Genomic DNA, 16,146 nt, shown 5'->3' on the forward strand with positions numbered 1-16,146 from the left:
GCGTGAGTCACCGAGGTACTCGCTGTTCACATCTCACATTTCCCTGGTGCTTGTGTCAAAACCAAGGAACCAACTTTGGCCTACGGACTAAACTCACTTTCCTTTGTAGAAACAAGGGCCAGGCCAGCTGTGGCTGCAAAGTAGCCCAGCAAATGATGAGGCTTGAACCTCCTCGCCCTGGGCTGCCCTGATTGGGTCTGGGGGACCTGAACCTCCTCGCCCTGGGCTGCCCTGACTGGGTCTGGGGGACCTGAACCTCCTCGCCCTGGGCTGCCCCAGCTGGGTCTGGGGACCTGAACCTCCTCGCCCTGGGCTGCCCCGCCTGGGTCTGGGGACCTGAACCTCCTCGCCCTGGGCTGCCCCGCCTGGGTCTGGGGACCTGAACCTCCTCGCCCTGGGCTGCCCCACCTGGGTCTGGGGACCTGAACCTCCTCGCCCTGGGCTGCCCCAGCTGGGTCTGGGGGACCTGAACCTCCTCGCCCTGGGCTGCCCCAGCTGGGTCTGGGGGACCTGAACCTCCTCGCCCTGGGCTGCCCCAGCTGGATCTGGGGGACCTGAACCTCCTCGCCCTGGGCTGCCCCGCCTGGGTCTGGGGGACCTGAACCTCCTTGCCTGGGCTGCCCCGCCTGGGTCTGGGGGACCTGAACCTCCTCGCCCTGGGCTGCCCCAGCTGGGTCTGGGGGACCTGTACCTCCTCGCCCTGGGCTGCCCCGCCTGGGTCTGGGGGACCTGAACCTCCTCGCCCTGGGCTGCCCCGACTGGGTCTGGGGGACCTGAATCTCCTCACCCTGGGCTGCCCCAGCTGGGTCTGGGGACCTGAACCTCCTCGCCCTGGGCTGCCCCAGCTGGGTCTGGGGGACCTGAACCTCCTCGCCCTGGGCTGCCCCGACTGGGTCTGGGGGACCTGGGGCCCAGCTGCAGCTGCAGCAGCCTTGGTCTTTCTCCAGAAGGATGTCAGGCTTGCCCAGGAAAGGGGCTGTGCTGTCGTCCTGGTGTCAGAAGAAGTGAGGATGCCTGCAGGCTGGGACTGCTGCTGGGGACGTTTGGGTTGGAAGGAAGGCGGCAGTCAGACTTGTCCTGTGCCGGCACTGCTGGGGAGGCCCCTCCTTCCTGCAGAGCCGTCCCCTCATCACTGGGTTGATTACTCCTTAGAGAGCTCCCCACTGCTCAGCTGCTCCATTCCCTAATGGTTTGCCCTCCAAACCCTTCCAAAGCCTCCCAGGGAGAGAACGGGACCCTGGACAGAGTCTTGAGCTGGAAGCGTAGGGCTGAGCTGTGTGTGACTATCCTTTTGCTATGGATGTGTTCAAGCAGATCTGATGTCCTCGCCTGTCTCAGCAGCGGGACCCCTGTTTCCTCTTTGTCTTGCCCCTGGATTGCCTGGAAGCAAATTTCAGGCCTTCTTTATGTCACCTAAAAATATTTCAAACACATCTCTAAAAAAATCAGTTGTTTTTTTAACCTGACCGTAGTACCTAATGTAATACCGCATGTTAAACTCACAGAAGGTTTTTCTTGGAGAAATAAGCCACAATAACAAATTGAAAAAATAAAATTCCCAAAGAGTTCTTCCAGTCGTCAGATATTTGGTCAGTATTCAGAGTAGGATCCAGAGTTCACACATTACATTTGGTTGACAAGTCTGTAGATTTCTCTTTGTAAATCACATTTTTTTGTTGTTGTTATAGCCTGGGGACCTTAATGACTTTAATACACTCTTTTTTTTGGAGACGGAGTCTCACTCTGTCCAGGCTGGAGTACGGTGGTGCAATCTTGCCTCACTGTAACCTCTGCCTCCTGGGTTCAAGCGATTCTCCTGCCTAAGCCTCCCAAGTAGCTGGGATTACAGGCGCCTGCCACCACGCCTGGCTAATTTTTGTATTTTTAGTAGGGACGGGGTTTTGCCATATTGGCCAGGACGGTCTCGATCTCTTGACCTCGTGATCTGCCCGCCTTGGCCCCCCCAAAGTGCTGGGATTACAGGTGTGAGCCACCACGCCCAGCCTCACATTTTTATTTTAAAAACCTCTCCAGGCTGGGCGCAGTGGCTCACGCCTATAATCCCAGCTGTTAGGGAGGCAGAGGTGGGAGGACAGCTCGAGCCCAGGAGTTCCAGATCTTCTGCCTGGGCAATATAATATAGCATGACCCTGTTCTAAAAAAAAAAAAAAAAAAAAAATCTCTGAAAAAGATGATTCAAAAAAAAAAAAAGGAGAGGCCAGGCAAGTAGCTCAGGCCTGTAATTTCAGCAGAGGCCAAGCTGGGAGGATCACTTGAGTCCAGGAATTAGAGACCAGTCTGGGCAACATAGCGAGACCCCATCTCTATTTAAAAAAAGAGAAGGGGCCGGGCACGGTGGCTCCCGACTGTCATCCTCGCACTTTGGATGCTGAGGCAGCTGGATCACCTGAGGTCAGGAGTTCGTGAGGCTCCGGCGTTTGTATTTCATTTGAATCTAAAGTGAGCAGCCACAGGGACCCGCAGCTCATCAGACCAGCCTGGGGTTCCAGGCCAGGAGGGCAGTGGTTTGCTCCAGAGCCAGCTGCTTGTGGGTGTGGGACGGTGGCGACGCGTGCACCGGGGATGTGTCCTGCCACCAGAGGAGGTGTGCGTGGCGGGGAGCAGAGGGGCTTTGTTTCCCAGGTGAAGGTGCGGCTTCTTCACTCTTAGAGGTGCGTGTGTGGGTGGGGGTGCTTGCTGTTGAGGTTTATGCCTGTGACTGACAGCTGTCCCCCAAGCCATGCTGGCAGTGTGTAGGTGTCGTGCCGGCCACCGCAGAGGAATCCTCTGGGCTTCTGTGGTTCAAGTGGGGCCCAGCGCAGAGCTCCATGAGTTGCTGAGCAGCCAGCCCTGCAGCATCTCCTGGTTTTGGCAGCAGGAGGCGTCCCCTGTGCATTCAGGGGCTGTGGGGCTGGGGCACTCGCAGCAGGAAGGAGCCCTGCTCAGGCCTGCGTGCTCCCTTTCTGCAGAGGGAGACGCTGTTGCGGCAGCTGGAGACGAACCAGCTGGACATGGACGCCACGCTGGAGGAGCTGTCGGTGCAGCAGGAGACGGAGGACCAGAACTACGGCATGTATGTGGCCGGACCCGCCCGTGCGGGCGGTGTGGGGGCTGCGGGCGTGGCCGTGGTGCAGGGCCATGGGCTGCACCAAGGAGACAGCAGAGGGGAGTGTCCCCTGTTTGGGGTAAATTAGTCACCTTTGGGCACGGGTGGAGGAGGACTCAGGTTTGCACTGCCCCCAGCAGCCCCCCCACAGTCACCCCTGGCGTGGACTCCTCATACAGGTCATGCTGTGCCTGCCACTCTGAGTACCGCTGACCGTGGCCAGGTGCTGGTGCTCATGGAGTGCTGCTGGGGCTGCCTGCCCATCAGGGGCTTGGCCTCCCAGATTGATGCCAGCATGGGGTGTGCTTTCTGGGGAGCTGCTTGACTTTGGGAAGCTCCCTGTGTTGAAGAGGCATACAGGCCAGGACATGGAGGTCTCTGGTCCTCGATAGCAGAGGGCGGCTCAGAGCATCCTCCTGAGTGGGCCTGGGCAGTGCATAGCCCCGGGGTTGCGGCCAGTGGGACAGCTGGCCCGTTCTCTGCCTCAGGCTCCTGTACAGCTAGGGGCTTGGTGCCTCCCCTGGGACCCAGGCAGGGACCACGGAATCAGTGGCCCTCCTGAGGCCCCCCAGGAGGTCTCTGTTTCCAGAAGGAGAGCCCTGTGGGTCACCTTGGATCTGGCTGTTGGCTCAGACACAGCAAGAGACCGAGAGGGAAGGCAGTTTGATGCCTGGAGAGGGACCCGTGGCTTCCAGCTGCCAGGCCAGCCCCAGAATGGAGCCCCCCGCATGGGCGCTTCTCTGTTGAACCAATCCTGGCATTTCCTGGGCCTGAGAGTTGGGTCAGCTGGATGCTGCGATGGCCGCACGTGCTCCACCAAGCCCCAGCCCCCTCCTCTTCCCAGAAACCCCCGCTCACGGGAAGGTCCAGTTGCTGCCATCTGGCCACCTCTGCATGGAGCCCCCAACAGCTGTGCCTCAGAACAGATCCGAAGTGACTTTCAGGGGAGCTGGACACATGTACGCTGGTGCCTGCTGTCCCCACCCTTTGGCACTGCTGCTCTTTCTTTTTCTGAGATGGAGTCTCGCTCTGTCGCCCAGGCTGGAGCGCAGTGGTGTGATCTCGGCTCACCGCAAGCTCCGCCTCCCGGGTTCACGCCATTCTCCTGCCTCAGCCTCCCAAGTAGCTGGGGCTACAGGCACCCGCCACCACACCCGGCTAATTTTTTTTGTATTTTTAGTAGAGACGGGGTTTCACTGCGTTAGCCAGGACGGTCTCCACCTCCTGACCTCGTGATCTGCCTGCCTTGGCCTCCTACAGTGCTGGGATTACAGGCATGAGCCACCGTGCCTGGCTGGCACTGCTGCCCTTGGAAGTGGATGGGGATGATGGCCTCTGTGGGGCGGGTGGCCCAGAACACAGTGGCTCTTCCCAGCCCCAGCAGCAGCAGCAGAGAGCCCCCTGTCACCTGAGGGCCTCAGGGAGAGGCAGGGGAGCCAGGCTTCTCACCCGCCTTCTGCCTTTCAGCTTCCTGGAGATGATGGAGGCTCGCAGCCGTGGCCATGCGTCCCCACTGGCGGCCAACGGGCAGAGCCCATCCCCGGGCTCCCAGTCACCAGTGGTGCCTGCAGGCGCTGTGTCCACGGGGAGCTCCAGCCCCGGCACACCCCAGCCCGCCCCACAGCTGCCCCTCAATGCCGCCCCACCATCCTCTGTGCCCCCTGTACCACCCTCAGAGGCCCTGCCCCCACCTGCGTGCCCCTCAGCCCCCGCCCCACGGCGCAGCATCATCTCTAGGCTGTTTGGGACGTCACCTGCCACCGAGGCAGCCCCTCCACCTCCAGGTAGGCCCTGGAGCTGCCCCTCCCAAACTGGTCCCAGACCCCCAGGCCCTCACAGGTGGGGTCCTGGATTTCGGAGCGCTCCACGCTTCTTCCTGCTTGTCCCAGTCCCGTGGGCACATCCCGGGTGGGCCTGGCTTGGGGTTGGGTGCAGTGAGGGTTCTGGTGCCGAGTGAAGAGGACCCGGCATCACTGTTCACAGAGCCAGTCCCGGCCGCAGAGGGCCCAGCAACGGTCCAGAGTGTGGAGGACTTTGTTCCTGACGACCGCCTGGACCGCAGCTTCCTGGAAGACACAACCCCCGCCAGGGACGAGAAGAAGGTGGGGGCCAAGGCTGCCCAGCAGGACAGCGACAGGTGAGGGGTGGGCCTGGGCCTCCTCTCCCATTGCCCCCCAGCCTCCAGGGTGCCCGAGCAGCAGGTGGGGCTGGCTTTCTAGGGGCGCAGAAGGGGCCCCCCGCCGGCTGGTCACTGTTGGCTGAGGACAGAGCAGCTCTGTGGCTGGAGCAGACGAGGGAAGGGCTTGGACGGGGCTTCCAGACATCAGAAAGGCCTGGCCACCTGCTCTGCCCACACCCTGGAGAGGACAGGGGCACCTTGGGGTCTTCTGTGGGCAGATGCCACATGGAAGCCATTGGAGAGGCCACTGCAGGTCATATGGGAGGTTCAGGCCACCAGATGTGGTCTCCACAGGGCCAGGATCCAGGTGCTGCAGAGACAGGGGCGGCTTCCTGCAGGTCCTAGAGCTGGGAGCTAGAGCCGCCTCCCCAGCCATCTGCCAGCCCCTCCCACCACTCTGTCTGCCAAGCTGCCCCAAATTTTGCCTGCAGCAAAGCCCTGCATTTGGTCCCAGGACAGCCCTGGACAAGCTCCACCCACAGTGGCCTCAGCACCTCAGCCTCACCCATTGCTGTGGGGCAGCGGCTTCCTCCAGAAATACACAAAGGACAGAAAGCCCCGTGGCCCTGAGCTGGGCCCGCCTCCTCCACGAGCGCCCACTTGTGCGGCTCCACATCCTTCACCCACTGAGCGGCCGCAGGGCAGCACTGTGTCCAACCTTGTGCCCCCGACCCCTTCCTGCTCAGAAGCCCTGTGACCATGAGGGGGCCTCTCCACAACACAGCACCTGGGGTGGGGTGGCCCCACGGCCAGGGTGTGCTGGGTACCAGGGCGCCTAGAACCAAGGCCCGTGAGCCCGGCCAGCCATCCCTACCCCGTGGCCCTTGACCGCTTTGCCCCCTGCTTTGCAGTGATGGGGAGGCCCTGGGCGGCAACCCGATGGTGGCAGGGTTCCAGGACGATGTGGACCTCGAAGACCAGCCACGTGGGAGTCCCCCGCTGCCTGCAGGCCCCGTCCCCAGTCAAGACATCACTCTTTCGAGTGAGGAGGAAGCAGAAGTGGCAGCTCCCACAAAAGGCCCTGCCCCAGCTCCCCAGCAGTGCTCAGAGCCAGAGACCAAGTGGTAAGGGCAGGTGTCCCCACGGGTGCGGCCTGGAGACCCGGGTGGGGCAGTTCAGGACGCCTCCAGAGGACCCTGACTGACCCTCTGCTTGTCCACAAAGGTCCTCCATACCAGCTTCGAAGCCACGGAGGGGGACAGCTCCCACGAGGACCGCAGCACCCCCCTGGCCAGGCGGTGTCTCTGTTCGCACAGGTCCGGAGAAGCGCAGCAGCACCAGGCCCCCTGCTGAGATGGAGCCGGGGAAGGGTGAGCAGGCCTCCTCGTCGGAGAGTGACCCCGAGGGACCCATTGCTGCACAAATGCTGTCCTTCGTCATGGATGACCCCGACTTTGAGAGCGAGGGATCAGACACACAGCGCAGGGCGGTAAGACGAGTCCTCCCGGGGCAGAGGTCAGCCAGGTGGCCAGGGTCCCTCCCACAGGCCTGATCTGGGTGGGTGCAGTGGGAGGAGGCTTCTGGAAGAGGCATCTCATGTCCCCACACTTGGGCCTTGCCGGCCTGGTTTGAGATCCCACAACCCCTGGGGGTGTGGGAGGGATGATGGCCTGACCAGTTGCTCTCCCTGCTCCAGGATGACTTTCCCGTGCGAGATGACCCCTCCGATGTGACTGACGAGGATGAGGGCCCTGCCGAGCCGCCCCCACCCCCCAAGCTCCCTCTCCCCGCCTTCAGACTGAAGAATGACTCGGACCTCTTCGGGCTGGGGCTGGAGGAGGCCGGACCCAAGGAGAGCAGTGAGGAAGGTGGGTGGGGGCACCAGAGTGCGGTCAGCCTGCTGGAGTTTGGGTAGAACGTGGGCCTCCTCCCAGCTGCTGGCCGCTGGCCGGGGTCCTCTCCTGAGTCCAGGATGCTGTGCCATGCTCCTGGCAGCCCCCTGCAGGAGCTGATGTTTGCAGTGTGGTCCTGTCCATCAGCAGGGCCTCCTGGAGGGCTGGGGCTCGCTGCTTTGTGAGTTTCTAGAGAAGTCCTGTCACCCAGCTTGGGGTCCCCGTTGGCCTGAGTTTGAGCCACTGTCTGTCCTGTCTGTGCAGGTAAGGAGGGCAAAACCCCCTCTAAGGAGAAGAAGAAGAAGAAGAAAAAAGGCAAAGAGGTACTGGCTACTCCCCTTCCTGGCAGGCCAGGACTGGGTGGCATGCGGTCCTGGGACCAGGGCTGTGGCTTCCTGTGACTCCATGGCGCCCCATCCTTGTGCTCCTCAGGAAGAAGAAAAAGCTGCCAAGAAGAAGAGCAAACACAAGAAGAGCAAGGACAAGGAGGAGGGCAAGGAGGAGCGGCGACGGCGGCAGCAGCGGCCCCCGCGCAGCAGGGAGAGGACGGCTGCCGATGAGCTGGAGGCTTTCCTGGGGGGCGGGGCCCCGGGCGGCCGCCACCCTGGGGGTGGCGACTACGAGGAGCTCTAGGCCGGCGTGGGCAGTGGCCGCCCTGGGGCGGGGGGCGTGCCTGTCACTGCCTGGGGAGGCATTTGCCTCTGTACCATCGCCTTTGCCGCTGCCCCGTGGCTGCCGTGTGCGCTTCTGAGCTGGAAGAGGCCGGGCATTGGTGGTCCCCAGGCTGGGCCCTGCAGGTGCTGGGCCTTCAGGCCCAGTGTGAGCCTGCTCTGCAAGAAGGGAGGGGACAGCTGGCTTCAGCCAGGCTCGGTGGACACCCTGGCCCTCTCGGGGCAGAGCCGCCAGTGTTTCTCAGGGATGTGACTGAGGCCCAGGAGGGACCTGTGAGGGTCTGTTTACAGAGGCTGGGCAGGGGCCGCTTGGCTGTGGGGTGTGCGCTGCCCCGGCACCTGCTTGCCCTCCGCGCTCATCTGGGGCCGCAGCATGCCTATGGTTCCGCTTCCGGCCGGGAGCCCTGAACACGGGTGTGCAGACTCACCCTAAAGGGCGGCCCAGGCCCCACGCTAGAAGGCTGGCGAGACCGAAGGCAGCATGTGAGGCCTCTCCTGGGAGTGGGGGTTGTGTTTCCCACAGTGGCCTCAGCTGCGCCCCCGCTCAGGTGAGCCCGAAGGCAGGAGCCGGGAGGCACTCCTCCCAAACACTCCACTCAGACCATAAAGCACTCCTGTTTCACTCTGCGTGTGTCTGTTCTTCTGCCTGTACCTCTGCTCCCGCTGCCCCGGGCCCAGGCTGCCGTGGGTTGGCAGGAGGCTGCCCAGCAGTGGTGTGAGGACGTCCCACCAAGTCTGGCCACACCCTGGGTACATTCCAGCCCACCTGTGCCAGGGCTCAGCAGCTGCACGCAGCACGCTTGGCGACCTCAGCCCCAGGAGGTGGAAGTCCACTCTGCAAGGCTCCCAGGCAGCCGCCTGCAGCCCTGCCCCCCGCCTTCAGGCTCCTGCCCCCTCCAGCTGTCAGCAGCGCCCAGCCTCCACCCCCACAGCTACTGTTGCCATGAGAACCCTGCAGGGCAGGCAGGAAGAGTGTGCCAGTGAAGGGGAGGAGGTGGCCAAGCTGGAGGCTCCTCTGCCTGGGAGCCTTGTGGCCCCAGGGTGTTGGGCAGTCACTGCAGTCCCTGAGCAGGTGCTGTGGCCCACAGCAAGCTTAGCCTGGCCCCTTAGCCCACAGCCCATGAGGTCAGGGCCGGGTTCAGGGGTTCGCCTGGTGTGGGGATGGGTCGACAGTACGTGAACTTGACAGGATCACACCATGGACGGCTATGTTGGGGTTTCAGTGGGCCCTGCTTTGAACAGTGCAGAATGGGGTAGGTCCTGCCCTTCAGAGCCAAGGGCATCAGCTCCCCACCCCTCTGCCAAGCTAGAACGTTCCCAGGCCCAATGCCTTGGGGAGGGGCTGGCAGAGTGGGACGAGGACATTACCAGGCAGGTATGGCAGGTCACGTGCAGGCCTTCCCAGGCTGGCAGGGACCGGATGCAGGAGTGGCCTCACCCAGAGAGGATGGCATCCTGGGGACACAAGAGGCTGCAGGGGCCATCTGGCCCCAGGTACCCGCCAAGATTTTGGCATTGGCAGCCTTGAAGCAGATAGGGCCTGGGGAGAGGCCAGTGGGGCACAGAGTAGCCCATCTGCTCCTGCCTCGCCCGACAGGAGATGCGAATTCCAAGATGCCCCTGACCAATCTCTGCAGCCCAGGCCAGGGTTCGGGCCCCTCCTCTCAGGCAAGTGTGTTGGGGTGACACTGGCGGGACTGGCAGGCTGCTCCGGGCCACAAGACTCCTGCTTAGACACTGAGGTCTGTGTCTTGGGGGTGCTGCAGGGACCCTGTGCTCTGCACAGCCCCAAATTGGAGCCAGTGCAGCTCATGATCCCCAGCTCCACGGTGCAGCCCCCACTGGGTGCGGCCCCTTTAAGTACAGCCCCTTCAGCTGCCATCAGGGGCAGCACTGAGCAGCCAGGCCAGGATCCGCGCTGCTGCCTGGAAGCTTCTGCCCGTGCCGGGGACGCAGCAGTGCCGGGGACACAGAGGAGCCGACCTGGGGGTGGCACAGCCCACCGGGGCACAGCCAGAGCAGCACCCAGGTAAGGGGCTAGGGGCCGAGTTGCTGAGTGTGTCACCGTCATGGGCGGGGGAAGCTGCCTTAGGGCAGCCGAAAGGATGGGGAGTCCCCGCCCCCAGGCAACACCGGCTGTATCCCTTGAAGGGCCGCTCCCAGCCAGGGCAAGGCAAGGCAAGGCAGGGCTGGGAGGTGGGGAAGGCCGCCAGCCATCTCCGTGGGCTCCAGAAGGCCTTGGGCCCGGGAGAGGGCCGACCCCACCCCCATCCCCACGGGAGGGGGTGTCACCGACAGCTGCAGCCAGCAAGGCCGACTGTCACCTCCCTGGGGTGGAGCCTCACACCCTGTCATCCGGCCGGATTCCGGCCTGGCCTTGAGCTTAGCATGAAAGAGGGAGCAGGAGGGTAGACAGTCCTGCCACGGGTGGGGTGGAGGGGGGAGATGGGGGGGTGGGCGGGGGAGGCTGGGATGGGCACAAGGCCTGGGACTCGTGGCCCTGACCCAGAAAAACAGCCCTGCCAGCAGGAAGCCCCTGCACACCTGGGACACAGAGGGGGGACCCGGCCAGACCCCGAGAGGCCCATCCACCTGAGGTTCTGCCCTGCAAGGGGCCTGGCCAGGTACCCGCTTTCCCCAGCTCACTCTGGGGTAGACCCCCCAGACCAGGTGTTGGGTGTGCAGAGGCCAGGCCTGTGGCCACTCTCTGACGCACCCCCCAGCTGGCTCTGGGATCACAGAGGGGTTGGCAGCCCACATCTGAACCCAGGCCAGCCTGCCGCGTGGGGGCCTAAGAAATGCAGGTTTCCATGGAACCTTCTGAGCGAAATGGGGAGGGCCCTCTCCTGCAAAGCAGTGGGGCTTCCCCCACCCTCCGCCCTGCCCACCCCCAGCGGGCAGCTTCCAGGCCTGGTGCGCAGCTCAGAGGAGGGGCTGCCACGAGCTCGCGGCTCGATGGCTTGGGACTGCCTTGCAAACCCTAGGGGGGTGTCCTGTGCGTTTACACAAAGCTGGGGCCTTGTTTCAACCACCCAAAGATACTTGGGGTCAGAAAAGGTGTCGGCAGAGGAAAGGGAGATTTAGGGCCCGGGTATGCTCTCTGGGGGCATTTTTCTGGCCTGGGGCTCGCGGGAAGTTGAGGGCACCTAGGCGTGGGTCCTTGCAGTGCTGGGGGCGGGGCTCTGTGCTCGGCCCGGCCAGCAGGTGGGGTGGTTGGTGTCACCCACTTGGTGCAGAGCCGGCTAAGGCTGAGGCCCAGGGACTCGCCTTCCACTGTGCGCGATCGGAGGGGTCGCTCTGCAGTGGGCGCTGTGACGGGGGCGCAGTCACTGACGTCTCCTGGGGCAACACCTATAAATAAGGCCCAAATGCGGCCCGTCCTTCCAACTGCGGACACCAGAGGGCGCAGCCCCAGGACCACGCCCCCACTCCCCTACCCCACCCGGAAAGGGGTCCACCCGAGCCGACCCCGCCGTCACTAGTCGGGGGAGGGGAGGCCCTGGAGCTTCACGCGGGAGCTCCCGCCGCGGGAACCACAACCACGGCTAAGCCTTTCTGGCCCGCCCGCCCCATCGCAGGGAGAGGACGGGGGGACGGGCAGGACGGGCGCCTGGACAGCTGGGTTCCTCCCGCAGGTGCTTCTGACCCCGGCATGGAGGAAGCGCCCGCGTTCTCGGCCCAGGCCCGCAGCCAGGGCTGCTCCGCCCGCTGCGCCCCAGGTAAGCCGGGCCAGCGTGGGGGAGTAGCGGGGCCTGGGCTGCGGAGGGGGCCGCCCTGACCCGCGTCTCCCCCCAGGGCAAAAGCCCCGCAAGGCAGTGTGAGCTGGAGCCGCCAGCCTGGGGACCTCTTTTAAGATGACCCGTACGGACCCTCCGGACCTGCTGGTGTCGACCGTGTACCAGGACATCAAGGTGGCGACCCCGGGACCCGCGTCCAAGTGCTCGCCATGTGAGCGATCCGTGGCCCGGCCTGCTGAGCCCGCGCCTTTCAACAAGCGCCACTGCCGCAGCTTCGACTTCCTGGAGGCGCTGGACGGGCCGGCCATGGAGACCCTGCCGGAGCCACCGCCGCCGGAGTCCGCTGTGCCGCGCGCCCGGACCCGCGAAGCCGAGCCACGCCGCCGCGCCCGCTCCAAGAGTGCGCCCCGCGCGCCCCCGGGCCTGACGCCCGCGCCCGCCTCGCCGCCGGTGTTGCCCCGCCGAGGGCGGGAGGCCCAGCGTGCGGCGCGGGCCGAGGCATCGCCGCGCCGGGAGCCCGCGTACCCGGCGCTCCGCGCCCTTGCCAACGAGCTGCATCCCATCAAGTTGCAGCCGCAGCGGGGCGGCCCCGGCCGCGTCGCGCCCCTGTGCGCCGCCGCGGGCCGCTGCGCACCGCCCGAGCCACCCGCGGGTCCCGCCCCCCACGTGCGCTGCCGCCTGGACATCAAGCCAGACGACGCAGTGCTCCAGCACGCCACCCGGGGCTCGCGGTCCTGCGGGCCCACCGAGGCCGCGCACTGGGCCCGCCCCGCCCCGCAGTTCCACGGCCTCACGGTGCCCGGGCCCCGCCACATGGCGCTGTCGCGCACCCCGACGCCCAGCGACTCATACTGTGCGGATCCCCGGGCGTTCTACTGCGACGGGCCCCTGCCTGGGCCCCGGGACTACGCCGAGCGCCGCAGTCTGCCCTTCACCACCCCGCCGGGCCCCACCCAGTTCTTCTATACAGAGGAGCCCCAAGGCTTCCGGGGCAGCTTTGCAGCCAGTCCCGGCCCAACCTTCGACGCCTACTACCCCAGGCCCTATCCGTCCGAGGAGCTCTCGGGGCCCAGTCCAAGGCGCATGGGCGGCTACTACGCAGGAGAGGTGCGCACCTTCCCAATCCAGGAACCGCCCTCCCGCTCCTACTATGGGGAGGCTCCACGAGCCTACGGCCTGCCCTACGGGCCCCGCTATGTCCCCGAGGAGCCCCGGGCCCACTCCACCGCCCGCCCCTTTTACACGGAGGACTTCGGAAGGTACCGCGAGCGTGACGTCCTGGCTCGGACGTACCCGCACCCGCGCAGCAGCCCGGCCTGGGCGGACTGGGGCCCGCGACCGTACCGCACCCTGCAAGTGGTGCCGCCCTCTGACCCCGACCCGTTGCTCGCCTCCTGGCACGGCGGCACCGGCACCAGTCCGCCCCGGCTGGCCACCGACAGCCGCCACTACTCGCGCTCCTGGGACAACATTCTGGCCCCGGGGCCGCGCCGAGAAGACCCGTTGGGCCGCGGCCGCAGCTACGAGAACCTGCTGGGGCGCGAGGTGCGGGAGCCGCGAGGCGTGTCCCCCGAAGGCCGGCGCCCGCCCGTCGTCGTGAACCTGTCCACCTCTCCCAGACGCTACGCCGCACTGTCCCTGTCCGAGACGTCGCTGACGGAGAAGGGCCGCGCGGGCGAGGGCCTGGGCCGCAACTGGTACGTGACGCCCGAGATCACCATCACTGACAATGACCTGCGCGCCACCGAGCGCCCGAGCGCCAGGGCCTGGGAGTTGCCCGGGGGCCGCACGCGGCCACCTCCCCACGCGGCCCCCGACGGCCCCACCTCTGGCCGCCAGCGGAGCCTAGAGCAGCTGGACGAGCTCATCACGGACCTGGTCATCGACTCGCGACCCACCGCCGGCCAGGCCTCAGAGCCCGCGGCCGACTGCCTGGGCCCCCAACTGCGCCGACTGCTGGACTCGCGGCCCGCGGGCTCCGGGGCCCCCGCGCTGGCGCCGCCACGCTCGCCCCCCGCCTCGGCCGGCAGCGCCGAGGAGCCCGCGGCCCCGGGAGAGGCGGCCGACGCGTCCCCCGAACCCAGCGCCGACGAGGACGACCTGATGACCTGCTCCAATGCGCGCTGCCGGCGCACCGAGACCATGTTCAACGCCTGCCTCTACTTCAAGTCCTGCCACAGCTGCTACACCTACTACTGCTCGCGCCTGTGCCGCCGCGAGGACTGGGACGCCCACAAGGCGCGCTGCGTGTACGGCCGCGTGGGCAGCGTGTGCCGCCACGTACTGCAGTTTTGCCGCGACAGCGGCCCGGTGCACCGCGCTTTCTCGCGCATCGCGCGTGTCGGCTTCCTGTCGCGCGGCCGCGGCGTGCTCTTCCTGGGCTTCCCAAGTCCAGGCTCGGCCGACAACTTCCTGCGCTTTGGCCTGGAGGGGCTGCTGCTATCCCCCACCTACCTATCGCTGCGTGAGCTGGCCACACACGCGGCGCCCCTGGGCAGCTACGCGCGCGAGCTGGCGGCCGCTGGGCGCCTCTACGAACCGGCAGAGTGCTTCCTGCTCAGCGTGTCCGTGGCCGTGGGACCCGGCACCGCGCCACCGGGGACACCGGCCCTGCCCGCGCCCGCGCCACGCAGCCACGGGCCAACAGTGCGCAAGTTCGCCAAGGTAGCGCTGGCGGCCGGCAGCCCCGCGCGGCCGCCCCCGGCGCGGAGCCGCGAGCCCGACATGGAGACGCTGATCCTGACGCCACCGCCGGGCACGGCGGGCCTGGATCAGGACGGCGAGGCGGGCCGGCGCGCGCGCGAGGTGGCCTTCATCCACATCCAGCGCGAGCTGCGGCTGCGCGGCGTCTTCCTGCGCCACGAGTTCCCGCGCGTCTACGAGCAGCTTTGCGAGTTCGTCGAGGCCAACAGGCGCTTCACGCCCACCACCATCTACCCCACGGACCGGCGCACCGGCCGCCCCTTCATGTGCATGATCATGGCCGCCTCCGAGCCGCGCGCGCTCGACTGGGTGGCCAGCGCCAACCTGCTGGACGACATCATGTGAGGCGCCGGGCCCACCAGGCCTAGCCCAGGCGCTGGCCCGAACCCTGCCCTGCCCACTCAGGCCCCGCCCGGCCCACCCAGGGCCGCCCCCGAGCCCCGCCAGGGCCCCACCCCGACTTCTTCTAGGCCCCGCCTCTAATTCCCCAGCCTTCCAAGCTCCGCTCAGTTCGGCCTCCAGCTCCGCCCAGGCCCCCACCCCCCGGCCCTTCGTCCCCGTAGTGTTCCTCACAGGCCCTTCGCCTTCCCACCCCCAGCAACCCCTCTCCCTCCTCCGGGCCTCCTCCCTCTCCCAGCTCGCCCTCGAGGATCCCCAGAAGAAGTCGGTCCTCGCCCTCGGTGCTCCCCGCTGGGAGGCGGGGTGGGCCTGAGGACCGCCGAGCTCTGCCTTCACTCGGAGGGGTCACTACTGCACAGACCCCACCCGTAGAGATCCGGTCCCCGTCGGTCCGCGGGGCTCTCGCTGGAGCCTCCCCGACTCCGGTTTCCCCTCGTCCAGAAGCCCGACGTAACCAAAGCCCAGTCTGTCACTTTAAACACGCCCCGCCCCGCCTCCCGCGGCTGTGTTGCCTCCTCGCTGGAGAACACCCTGGTCGACCTCTGTGCGTCCGTGTGCGCGAGCGCGTCCCGCCGAGGCGGTGGGCAGGGCGGACGGTGCGCAGTGCGTTCCCGCTGGTCGGAGCCAGCACACTAACCACGCCACGCGCCCTGCCGTCCCTTCGCCTCCAGCCGCTGCAGTCTGGGCCCTGCAGGAGCTGGGAAAAACCGCAGGGAGGTCTTCAGGCCGATATGCAAGTCTCCCAGCCGAAGGGGCAGGGGACCTGAACAGGGGAAGCAGAGCACCTGGGCCTGGCCAGAGCTGACACCTGGCTAGGAGAGGAAGGACCAAGGGACGGGGCGTTCCCAGGTGGGAGCCTGGAGGGCAAAGCGTGGTGCGAGCAGGTGAGGGAGAGAGCTAGTTGGTAAGCGTGGAAGCCCACCCGAGGGGGCTTGACCTGTCCCGAGAGGTCCCCGCACACCCGCTCTGGCCGCACGCCGTACTGCGGGCGTGGAGGCGCAAGCCCGGCGGCCCGGCCTCCACCTGTCCCCCAAGTGCACCCTGGTCCGCGCCCAGAGCTCTCTGGAGGGTGGGGTATGCGGGAGAGGGGTGGAGGCCAAACGCAAGGGCCCTCCTGGAGTCCCCAGCCCTACTTCGGAGCCAGGGGAGGGGGCACCAAGTGAGAGAAATTGGGCACCCCCGCCTCCGCTCCTGCTTTCGCACCCGGCACGCCCATCTCGTCCCCGCGCGTCTGCACCGGCCAGGCGTCCCGCTTGCCCACCCGCCGCCGCGCCCCGCGCCCCCTACCCCAGGGCCTCTGCATTCGGCCCCACCCCTGAGGGCCGGCCGGGAACGCCCCTGGACCGGAATAATTTCCAGGGGGCAAGAGCTTTCGAACCAAGTAAAATAGAACTTGAATGTAGCGGCTGCCGTTGCCTCCTTGTACCGGTAGCGGGGTTGGGGACGGAAGCCTTCGGTCGGTGGAGAGGAGAAAGGGAGAGGCCTTCGGGCGGTGGACGGGGAAGAGAGGGAGTCCTTC

At 66.1% G+C, this 16,146-nt stretch overlaps 2 protein-coding genes across 4 annotated transcripts in view, besides 12 other annotated features; both read left to right on the forward strand.

Moving 5' to 3' along the window:
• The window catches only part of RABL6 (RAB, member RAS oncogene family like 6), a 33,240-nt gene extending 24,825 nt beyond the window's left edge, over positions 1–8,415 (forward strand). For 2 of the 3 annotated variants that reach the window (NM_001173988.2, NM_024718.5), the window contains exons 8-15: positions 2,970–3,073; positions 4,574–4,890; positions 5,090–5,243; positions 6,137–6,349; positions 6,450–6,714; positions 6,922–7,093; positions 7,382–7,440; positions 7,550–8,415. In NM_001173988.2, coding sequence (NP_001167459.1) covers positions 2,970–3,073; positions 4,574–4,890; positions 5,090–5,243; positions 6,137–6,349; positions 6,450–6,714; positions 6,922–7,093; positions 7,382–7,440; positions 7,550–7,750 — 1,485 coding nt within the window. In that variant the 3' untranslated portion in view covers positions 7,751–8,415. Of the gene's footprint in view, positions 1–947; positions 1,648–2,969; positions 3,074–4,573; positions 4,891–5,089; positions 5,244–6,136; positions 6,350–6,449; positions 6,715–6,921; positions 7,094–7,381; positions 7,441–7,549 lie in introns of those variants that run through there. The other variant, NM_001173989.4, reaches the window with a different exon arrangement.
• Positions 5,544–6,425: an enhancer, noted in NCBI's record as "H3K27ac-H3K4me1 hESC enhancer chr9:139732768-139733649 (GRCh37/hg19 assembly coordinates)". NCBI's record gives its function as "activates a minimal SCP1, AML or CMV promoter by ChIP-STARR-seq in naive H9 embryonic stem cells {active_cell/tissue: H9 hESC(naive)}" and the evidence as "EXISTENCE:reporter gene assay evidence [ECO:0000049][PMID:30033119]".
• Positions 8,605–8,899: a silencer, noted in NCBI's record as "tiled region #5679; HepG2 Repressive DNase unmatched - State 5:Enh". NCBI's record gives its function as "represses a minimal TATA promoter and a strong SV40 promoter by Sharpr-MPRA in HepG2 cells {active_cell/tissue: HepG2}" and the evidence as "EXISTENCE:reporter gene assay evidence [ECO:0000049][PMID:27701403]".
• Positions 9,069–9,950: an enhancer, noted in NCBI's record as "H3K27ac-H3K4me1 hESC enhancer chr9:139736293-139737174 (GRCh37/hg19 assembly coordinates)". NCBI's record gives its function as "activates a minimal SCP1, AML or CMV promoter by ChIP-STARR-seq in primed H9 embryonic stem cells {active_cell/tissue: H9 hESC(primed)}" and the evidence as "EXISTENCE:reporter gene assay evidence [ECO:0000049][PMID:30033119]".
• Positions 9,069–10,831: a biological region, named in NCBI's record as "H3K27ac-H3K4me1 hESC enhancers GRCh37_chr9:139736293-139737174 and GRCh37_chr9:139737175-139738055".
• Positions 9,396–9,535: an enhancer, noted in NCBI's record as "active region_29328". NCBI's record gives its function as "activates an Ori minimal core promoter by ATAC-STARR-seq in GM12878 lymphoblastoid cells {active_cell/tissue: GM12878}" and the evidence as "EXISTENCE:reporter gene assay evidence [ECO:0000049][PMID:35858748]".
• Positions 9,525–9,819: an enhancer, noted in NCBI's record as "tiled region #13741; HepG2 Activating non-DNase unmatched - State 1:Tss, and K562 Activating DNase matched - State 25:Art". NCBI's record gives its function as "activates a minimal TATA promoter and a strong SV40 promoter by Sharpr-MPRA in HepG2 and K562 cells {active_cell/tissue: HepG2 | K562}" and the evidence as "EXISTENCE:reporter gene assay evidence [ECO:0000049][PMID:27701403]".
• Positions 9,706–16,029, forward strand: AJM1 (apical junction component 1 homolog). Its single transcript, NM_001080482.5, has 3 exons — positions 9,706–9,817; positions 11,424–11,507; positions 11,584–16,029. Exon 3 carries the CDS (start codon positions 11,643–11,645, stop codon positions 14,571–14,573), a length of 2,931 nt encoding a protein of 976 aa, NP_001073951.2. The 5' UTR covers positions 9,706–9,817; positions 11,424–11,507; positions 11,584–11,642; the 3' UTR covers positions 14,574–16,029.
• Positions 9,846–10,175: a silencer, noted in NCBI's record as "silent region_20548". NCBI's record gives its function as "represses an Ori minimal core promoter by ATAC-STARR-seq in GM12878 lymphoblastoid cells {active_cell/tissue: GM12878}" and the evidence as "EXISTENCE:reporter gene assay evidence [ECO:0000049][PMID:35858748]".
• Positions 9,951–10,831: an enhancer, noted in NCBI's record as "H3K27ac-H3K4me1 hESC enhancer chr9:139737175-139738055 (GRCh37/hg19 assembly coordinates)". NCBI's record gives its function as "activates a minimal SCP1, AML or CMV promoter by ChIP-STARR-seq in primed H9 embryonic stem cells {active_cell/tissue: H9 hESC(primed)}" and the evidence as "EXISTENCE:reporter gene assay evidence [ECO:0000049][PMID:30033119]".
• Positions 10,832–11,712: an enhancer, noted in NCBI's record as "H3K27ac-H3K4me1 hESC enhancer chr9:139738056-139738936 (GRCh37/hg19 assembly coordinates)". NCBI's record gives its function as "activates a minimal SCP1, AML or CMV promoter by ChIP-STARR-seq in primed H9 embryonic stem cells {active_cell/tissue: H9 hESC(primed)}" and the evidence as "EXISTENCE:reporter gene assay evidence [ECO:0000049][PMID:30033119]".
• Positions 15,049–15,098: a silencer, noted in NCBI's record as "silent region_20549". NCBI's record gives its function as "represses an Ori minimal core promoter by ATAC-STARR-seq in GM12878 lymphoblastoid cells {active_cell/tissue: GM12878}" and the evidence as "EXISTENCE:reporter gene assay evidence [ECO:0000049][PMID:35858748]".
• Positions 15,579–15,808: a silencer, noted in NCBI's record as "silent region_20550". NCBI's record gives its function as "represses an Ori minimal core promoter by ATAC-STARR-seq in GM12878 lymphoblastoid cells {active_cell/tissue: GM12878}" and the evidence as "EXISTENCE:reporter gene assay evidence [ECO:0000049][PMID:35858748]".
• Positions 16,029–16,088: a silencer, noted in NCBI's record as "silent region_20551". NCBI's record gives its function as "represses an Ori minimal core promoter by ATAC-STARR-seq in GM12878 lymphoblastoid cells {active_cell/tissue: GM12878}" and the evidence as "EXISTENCE:reporter gene assay evidence [ECO:0000049][PMID:35858748]".

This window comes from Homo sapiens, chromosome 9, assembly GCF_000001405.40.
Source record: "Homo sapiens chromosome 9, GRCh38.p14 Primary Assembly".
Classification (NCBI taxonomy): domain Eukaryota; kingdom Metazoa; phylum Chordata; class Mammalia; order Primates; family Hominidae; genus Homo; species Homo sapiens.

Coding starts and splice junctions, on each gene's coding strand:
- AJM1 (NM_001080482.5), top strand. CDS start 11,643: ATGACCCGTACGGACCCTCCGGACCTGCTGGTGTCGACCGTGTACCAG.